Source organism: Homo sapiens, chromosome 8 (assembly GCF_000001405.40).
Source record: "Homo sapiens chromosome 8, GRCh38.p14 Primary Assembly".
Taxonomy (NCBI): domain Eukaryota; kingdom Metazoa; phylum Chordata; class Mammalia; order Primates; family Hominidae; genus Homo; species Homo sapiens.
In genome coordinates, this window is record NC_000008.11 from 58,699,953 (window position 1) to 58,709,336 (window position 9,384).

Below are 9,384 nucleotides of genomic sequence, written 5' to 3' on the forward strand. Positions count from 1 at the left end.
GTAGCTGGGACTACAGGCACGCACCATCATGCCTGACTAATTTTTAAGTTTTGGTAGAAACAGGGTCTTGCTATGTTGCCCAGGCTGGTCTACAACTCCTGGCCTGAAGTGATCCTCCTACTTTGGTCTCCTAAAGTGCTGGGATTACAGATGTCAGCCACTGCACCCAGACTTACTTAAACTCTTGACTGATCTCCAGTTGAGGTTGTATATACAGTCATTGCCTGTTTAATTTTTAAAGCATTAATTTATTAAATAAATATTTTAAAATATATAACATTTTTTGATTCTCTGTTTTGGCATTTTTATGTTTATCTCTTTGTTGTTGTTTCCTATCAGAGGTATCAGAAATTCTATGTGGCTCAGGCCCCTCTCACCTCAGAGGAGCTCCGCCAGGGCTAGATGGGCATGAGGTCACACAGGGTCTTGTTGGCTGTGTGAAGGATTCTGATTCATTTCTCCAGGGCGGTAGGAGCCTTAGCGGGGCTTCAGTCCATACCTGAGGAATACTGTGCCTGTTTGTTCCCTTTTATCACCTCCTTTATTCCTGTTGATCACTCCTTTGATCTCACCACTCCCTGGTGAGGAAGGTATTTCTAGCTTTATTTTACAAATGGGAAAACCAAGGCTAAGAGGCTAAAGAACATCCCCAGGTCACACTGCTAGGCAAAGGTCACAACACTCAGGCCCTCTCCGCTGCCTCATAGCCACTTCATTGCGTGGTGGATTTGAAGACATCTGAACAACCCTGGGAAGGAAGGAAAGAAGGGAGTGCTTTGGACTGAATTGTGTCAGCCCCCAGCCCCCCCAAAATTCATATGTTCAAACCCCAACCCCCTATGCCTCAGAATGAGACTGTATTTAGAGATAGGGTCTTTACAGAGATGATTAAGATAAAATGAAGTCACATGGGTCAGCCCTAATCCAACGTAACTGGTGTCCTTGCAAGAAGAGGACATTGAGACTTAGACAAATATGAACAAGAGGGAAGACCATGTGGAGACACAAGGAGAAGATGGTCACCTACAGGCAAGGTGAGAGGTCTCAGAAGGAACCAACCCTGCCAACACCATGATTTTGGACTTCCAGCCTCCAGAGCTATGAGAACATAAATTTCTGTTGTTTAAGTCACTCAGTATGTGATACTTTTTACGGCAACCACAGCAGACTAAGAGGGAGTTTGTTACCATTTTTTTGCTTCTTCACTATGACTTTGTGGTTGATACTGTTCTTCTACAGGTGCCCATGGCCCTGGCAGCCTCCCCAATACAATATTCCTTGGCTATAGATTGTGTTTCCCACACCTGGACTCCTTCCACAGTTAGAAATTGTTATCACTTTAATCCTCAAAGTCTTGCCTTCCTAGTATATGATGATGTCTAGTAAAAGATTAAGCCATTTAAGCTAAATCCTGCTAATAGTCAATGTTACGCATCCAAGTTGAGGTGAAGCCTTAACTCAATTACAGACAGCAAGAATGTTAAGACATAATTAAAGTTCTTAAGGTGGAGCGCAAGTCTTAAGAATTTCAGGCACTAGAGGTTAATCAGAAGAGAAATTTCTGATGAAGGGAAGCTGTCAGCATCTTTTGAATCATCTTCCAATGTTCATCTATAAGGCTGACTCCACTGAAAGGAATATTTTGGCAGATGGAGGGGTTGAGAAGCTCTGTGTAAATTTATTCTCATTTACAATCTCATGCCTTGTTTGGCTTCACTAATTGAATCAATATTTCTCGTGTATTTTTTCCCCTTAAAAAAGAAAAAACAAAACCACAGTACTAGCATAATGCCTTTGGGCACTTGTATTTTGTCTTCTGAAGAATTTTTAGTGTTATAATTCCCTCAGCCACTCTGTAATTCTTTATTAAGTTTTAATGTGGTTTACACTCTCCATCTGTAGACAATATATTATTTTCCTCCTCTTTGCCAGAACGTCTAATACTTCCCTGTAGTCTGTTTTAGAGCTCCTTCTGGTGGCTAAAACTATTATGACACGTCCATCCGTAGCATCTGTATCCATTCAGCCTCACAGCGATGGCCAGGACCTGTTCATCCAACAAAATAATAGAAGTTATGTTTGCAATACCATGCAGCAGAATAATGTTCAGATTTATAAATTTAGCATAATTACTTGATTTGTGGCTGTCAGAAAAAGGACAGGAGAGTTTTTGGGAGGTAGGTTACAACCACTGTAGTAAATGGACATTCTTCTGCATGTAACATATTCTAAAGGATGCATTTAATATTCCTATTGTTGGCTGAATTTGGCCAATTTTTGGTACAGAAATGAAGAAGGAGCTTTGGTTTTTGTGTTATATTTTTGCTCCTATTAATATCATTTTTGAGAACAGGTGTATGAGTGTGGGGTGATAGGACTAATTATTAGATCCTGTCAAGACTTTTATTTACTTATTTTTGAGATGGAGTGTGGCTCTGTCACCCAGGCTGGAGTGTAGTGGCATGGTCTTGGCTGACTGCAACCTCTACCTCCTATGTTCAAGCTATTCCTCTGCCTCAGCCTCCCAAGTAGTTGGGACTACAGGCGTCCACCACCACACCCAGTCAATTTTTTATATTTTTGCTAGAGACGGGGTTTCACCATATTGGCCAGGCTGGTCTTGAACTCCTGACCTCAAGTGATCTGCTCCCCTCGGCCTCCCAAAGTGCTGGGATTACAGGCGCGAGCCACTGTGTCCAGCCTCCTGTAAAGACTTTTTATTACTTGGTGGTGAAACATTGGTAGAAAGAGCTCAGTGACCTGAGTTCACCATTGCCATTCACCTCATGATCTAGCTTTCTGTGCCTTCTCATTATACGGTGATAAAAAGCACATAGCGTAAAATTTACCATCTTAACTATTTTGAAGTTTATATTTAATATCTGTGCCTTTCTGACTTCGCATTTTTAAAATATCTGCTCAATCATGCCCTTCTGTTTGTGCATCATGACATTTATAAAGTAAAACATAAGCACTTGCTATAGTCTAAAGCTTTGTGTCCTCCCAAAATTCACATGTTGAAATCCTAACCTGGAAGGTGATGGTATTAGGAGATGATTAGATCATGAGGATGGAGACTTCATGAATGGGATTAGGGCCCTTGTAAAAGAGGTCCCAGAGAACTGTCTTGCTTCTTCCACCACGTGAGGATACAGAGAATAGGCTTCTATGAATCAGGAAGCAGGCCCTCACCAGACATGGAATTTCCCAGCACCTTGATCTTGGACTTCCCAGCCTCCAGAATTGTAAGGAATAAATTATTGTTGTTTATAAGGTACCCAGTCCATGGTTATAGAATCCTGAGTAGGCTAAGATAATACAGACATTGAAATGAAATAAAACATATTAAGGATTACAGTGATAAATTGCTCTAAATTAGGAAATATGACCAGAAAACCACATGAATAACTTACCAACAATAGCAACAACAAAATTAGACATGTATCAAAATGAGTGTTTTCCTTTTCAAAGTCACAATATTGGCAAGTTGAACACTTACTAGAAAGATTTTATCTAAAACAGTGACTTTGCCTTGTGAGCATATAGAATGTTAGGTATATTAGTTGTGTAGCAAAATCATCTTCTAAAGTAGATTTGAGGAAATGTGATTAATAAAATAGATACACTGAGTAATATACAGTTAGGTACAGAATAAAACTACACTGTTAATTAATGTCTTTTCCTATATAACATGTAAATGAATTTTCCAGGCAATTCCAAAAGAGAAAGTTTAAAAATATCTTGAGAAATAGCAGCATTTTTGGAATAAAGGAAAAAATATCTGCAATCCAATTAGAGGTTACAAAGCATTTCAACTTATATTTTCTCATCTGATTTCCATTACAAGCTGGAAGAATAGATGAAATAGATATTATTATAAACTATTCCTGCCCCCAACATGTAGATGAGAAAATAGAGACTTGGGAAAGTAAAGTGACTCATTGAAGATGGTATAGCATTTGATATGGGAGCAATAAATCTGGGCCTAGACATCAAAACCCATGTTCGGCTCCACCACAACCCTTCAGTGAATAGCTCTTCTGAGGATATTTTTTGAGACATAACTTAAGATTTTTTTGTTTTATAAAGAAAACAGATACCTCTTATCATCAACCTATAAATCTTGTAACATTAAAACAATTAATGGATGGGAAAAAAATAGAAAAATATTTCTACAAAAATGTTAACAGTCAAATGGTAGCATGGTTTTGTTTTCTTCTTAAAACAATAAACATATACTTATTGATAATCAGAAAAATGTGTTATTTATAAAATGACTCTTAAAAGAACTAATTGCTGAGTTCACAATTTGCAGTTTCTTTAAAGAAGTTTTACGAGTCACTTGGGAGCTGAGGTGGGAAGATCACTTGAGCCCAGGAGTTTGAGGCTGCAGTGAGCTGTGATCACAACATTGAACTTCAGCCTGGGTAACAGAGGGAGAGCCAAAAGAAAGAAAGAAAGAGAGAAAGAGAAAGAAAGAAAGAGAAAAAGAAAGAAAGAGAATAAAGAAAGAAAGAAGAAAGAAAGAAAAAAGAAAGAAAGGAGAAAGAGAAGAAAGCAGGAAGGAAAGAAGGAGAAAGAAAGAGAAAGTTTCCCATATTAGAACTTAACTTTTCAGTTGAAGAGCTACAATTTCACTTCACTTGAAGAGCTACAATCAGTAATTTTTTAGCTATGGATGATTTCTTGAAAATGTTTATATTAACAAGAAAAATTATTCTTAACTTTTTACTGAATAAAAACGTACAGTGAGGTTAGACTTTTTGTGATATTTGATCTATTATTTTAATCTCTTGAAATTTTAATAAAAATTGTGAACTCTTTTACCAGGGAAATGTGTGTGCTCTCAAAATTTTGTTTGTAGTTTTAGAGAGTTTTTTGAACACCATTCATAGGTCCTACATTACCTATTCCTGTTATTTTTTTTTCTGAGACTTTGTTTTTTCAACTATAAAAGTTTATTTTTTATGTATTAGAATTATAATGTCATAATTGGTAAAGTTAAATTAATACCCTGTACAAGTTTTAAAGAACATTTTTTATTCTCTCTTTGTAAATAATTTCCTGAATGTGTTAAGGTCTTCTTAAAAACCCTACACAATTTGTATACTAAATTTCCTCCCTCTTCCCCTCCCTGCCTCATTTCTCTCCATCTCTTTACAAAAAGGATTTAAGGCAGTTTACAGAAGTGCATTAGATAAGACAAGGCAAAAGTAAAGATAACTAAGTGAGTTAATTTGAGCAAAAAGAGAATAAGGGTAGAGAGATTGAAATGAAGCCATGTATGCTTTGAGGGTCTAGAAGTGGCCCACCTATAGGACTCTGATCAACACAGAGAAGGAAACGTGAAGTATAAGCTGAGTCAGTGATCATAAGATAAGTGCTAATCAGTTCTTAGAAGAAGCATATTTATTTCTGGCATTAAGTCTAGAGGAAATCTTTTTCTGAGGGTTCTCATGAGTAGGGAAGGAGCAGTGGACTAAACAGTGCCTTTAAAAATTCCCATGCAGTAAACACAATGAGTTTCTCAGTGCTGAGTCTTACACCATTGCTCAGTAGAGATTCATGCTATAATGCTTAACCACAATTCAACAAAAGCAACTTCTGTGAGGAGAATCTAAGCAACACAGCCCATGTACCTAGCACTAGCATTAGTCCAAGAATATATATGTATAGAGAAAGTGTTAGATTACCTATTATTTTCTTTTCTTTTTGAGATGGAGTCTCACTCTGTTGCCCAGGCTGGAGTGCAGTGGCGCGATCTCGGCTCACTGCAACCTCCGTCTTCCGGGTTCAAGCGATTCTCCTGCCTCAGCCTCCTGAGAAGCTGGGACTACAGGCGCCCACCACCATGCCCAGCTAATTTTTTGTATTTTTAATAGAGACGGGGTTTCACTGTGTTAGCCAGGAATGGTCTCGATCTACTGACCTCGTGATCCACCTGCCTCAGCCTCCCAAAGTGCTGGGATTACAGGCATGAGCCACCGCGCCTGGCCAGATTGCCTATTCTTTAGGCAATATTCCACAAACATAGCTTTTTTTCAATGACTTTTGATTAATATTTTAGAAGATCAATCAGCATAATACATCCGTACGGTAAAGTATCAAATAGTGATAACAGCTTTGATGCAGCCAACAATCTAGTCCTCTCCACCCTCTAAACTCACTCATCAGCGACAATAGTTTCACTCATTTGAAACACAGAAGTTTTTAATTTTAATGAAGTCCGATGTATCTAGTTTTTGTTTTTTTTGCTTATATTTTTGGTGTCAGATCAAAAATGTTTTGCCAAACTCAAGGTCATGAAAGTTTCCCTTTGTGTTTTTTGCTAAGTATTGTGTAATTTTAGCTCTTACATTTAGGTCTTTGGTCTATTTTGAGTTAACTTTTTCATATGGCATGAAGTGGGTGTCCAATTACATTCTTCTGCAAGTTGTGCTATCCCAGCATCATTTGTTTAAAAAGTTGGTTTTTTCCCATTGGATGGTTGGCACAAATCAGTTAACCATATATGTATTGGTTGATTTTGGGGACAGCAATACTGTTCCATTGATTTATATGTCTGTTTTTGAGCTGGTACTACACTCTCTTGGTTACCATAGTTTTATACAATAGTAAGTTTTAAAATAGAGAAATGTGAGTTATCATACTTCATTCTTTTTTTAAAGATTATTTGGCTATTCTGGGTTCCTTGCAATTCTATGTGAATTTTAGAATTCGCCAGTTAATTTCATTTTTTTTGAGAAGGGGTCTTGTTCTGTCTCCCAGGCTGGAATTCAGTGGTGCAATCATGGCGAACTGCGGTCTCAACCTACTGGGCTCAAGTGATCCTCCCGCCTCAGCTTCTTAAGTAGCTGGGACCACTAGCGCCCACCACCACACCTGTCTATTTTTTTATTTTTAGTAGAGATGGTGTCTCCTTACATTGTCCAGGCTGGTCTCAAATTCCTGGGCTCAAACGATCCTCCTGCCTTCGTCGTCCAAAGTGCTGGGATTATAGGTGTGAGCCACCACAGCTGGCTTAGCCTGTTAATTTCTACAAAGATGTCAGCTTGGTCTTGGCAAAAATTTTATAACTAAGACATCAAAAGAACAGACAATGAAAATAAAAATGGGCAAATGAGACTATATTAAACTAAAAAGCTTCTTCACAGCAAAAGAAACAATTAAAAGATTGAAAAGACAACTTGCAGCATGGGAGAAAATATTTGCAAAATTTTCATTCAACAGGGGACTAATACCTAAAATATATAAGGAACTCAAACAACCTAACAGTAAAAAAAAAAAAAAAATTTAAGCAACACAAATATTTCATTAAAAAGTGGGCAAATAGCATGAATATACATTTCTCAAAAAAGATACAAATGGCCAATAGGTTTGTGAAAAAATGCTGAACATTACTAATTACTAATCATCAGAAAAATGGAAATCAAAACTACAGTGAGATAACATCTAACCTCAGAATGGCTAGATTAAAAAGAGAAAAATTAACAGCTGTTGGTGACAATATGGAGAAAAGGGAACTCTTATACACCGTCAGCGGAAATGTAAATTAGTACAGCCACTATGGTAAACAGTATGGAGATTTACAAAACACCAAAAATAAAACTACCATATAATCCAGCAATCCCTCTACTATGTATTTATTCAAAGGCAAATAAATTAGTATATGTCAAAGGGATACCTACACTCCCATTTTTATTGCAGCACTATTCATAATATTCAAGATATGGAATTAAGCTAAGTGTCCATCAATAGATGAATGGATAAAAAAAATGTGGTATATATACCTATTTGAATACTGTTTGGTCATAACAAAGAATTAAATCATGTCATTTGCTGCAATATGGATGGAACTGGAGGTCATTATGCTAAGTGAAATAAACCAGGCACCATCAGACAAATACCTCATGTTCTCACTCATATGTGGAAGCTAAAAACTTGGTCTCATGGATGTAGAGAGTAGAATGATATACTTCAGTGTAAAGGTGGTGAGGGGATAAAGAGAGGTTGATTGATGTATACAAATACACAGTTCATGAGAGGAATTTTTTTGTAGATATGGATTCTGGCTATGTCGTCCAGGCTTGTCTCAAATTCCTGGCCTCAAGCTATCCTCCCACTGTAGCCTCCTCAAGTGCTGGGATTACAGGTGTAAGCCACCACATATGGCCAAGAAGGAATAATTTATAATGTTTAATAGCAGAGTAGAGTAACTATTGTTAACAGCAATGTATTGTGTATTTCAAAACACCTATAAAAGAGGACTTGAGGTGTTCCCAACACATAGAAATGATAAATATCTGAAGTGATGGACATCTCAAATGCCCTGACTTGATCATTACAAAGTCTATGCATGTAACAAAATATCACATATACCCCAAAAATATGTACAAGTATTTGAATTAATAAAAAAGAAGAGTGCTAGGGAAGGAATAAATAAAGGTAAAATTTAAAAACATCTCTTATTCTCAATTGACCTAAAAGTTAATTGTTTAATCAAAGTAATGATAAACTGACTGGGTGAAGATGCCATATAAATAAAGTGAAATAAATGCTAGCAATATCAAAATGGATGGGATGGTGCATTAGTCTGTTCTCACACTGCTATAAAGAACTTCTCAAGACTGGGTAATTTATAAAGAAAAGAGGTTTAATTGACTCACAGTTCTGCATGGCTGGGGAAGCCTCAGGAAACTTACAGTCATAGCAGAAAGTGAAGGAGAAGCAAGGACCTTCTTCACATGGTGGCAGCAGAGAGAAGGGCAAGCAGGAGAAATGCCAGACACTTCTAAAACCATCAGGTCCTGTTTTATAGAGAACTCACTCACTATCATAAGAATAGCCGGGGGAAACCACCCCCATGATCCAGTCACATCCGACCAGGTCTCTCTCTCAACACCTGGGGATTACAATTCAAGAAGAGATTTGGGTGGGGACACAAAGCCTAACCATATCAGATGGGAATTGGGAATATTCTGTCATATGATGTCTGTAATACACATGAAGTAGAATAGTGTCATTTGAAAGTGGACTTAGATTAATTTAAAATGTATACTTTAAACTCTTGGAGAACCATTAACAAAATTTCTGAAAGAAATATCATTTATACACTAAAGGAGAAGACAAAATGAGGTTATATAAAATACTCAAAATTTGAAAAGGAAAGAAAGGCAAAACAGAAACAAAGAGCAAATGCAAACTTCAGATCAAGGAAAATTATCATGAACGTAAAGGGGCATTACATAATGCTACAGGGATCTATTCTCCAAGAAGACATAGTAATTCTAAACATGTATGCACCTAATAAAAAAGCATCAAAATACATAAGTCAAAAACTAATAACAGTGAAAGGAGAAATAGACAAAGCCATTATTATAGTTG

The 9,384-nt window shown here is 37.1% G+C and overlaps 1 annotated feature.

Annotated features, from left to right (window-relative positions):
- Positions 264–835: an enhancer, noted in NCBI's record as "OCT4-NANOG hESC enhancer chr8:59612775-59613346 (GRCh37/hg19 assembly coordinates)". NCBI's record gives its function as "activates a minimal SCP1, AML or CMV promoter by ChIP-STARR-seq in naive and primed H9 embryonic stem cells {active_cell/tissue: H9 hESC(naive and primed)}" and the evidence as "EXISTENCE:reporter gene assay evidence [ECO:0000049][PMID:30033119]".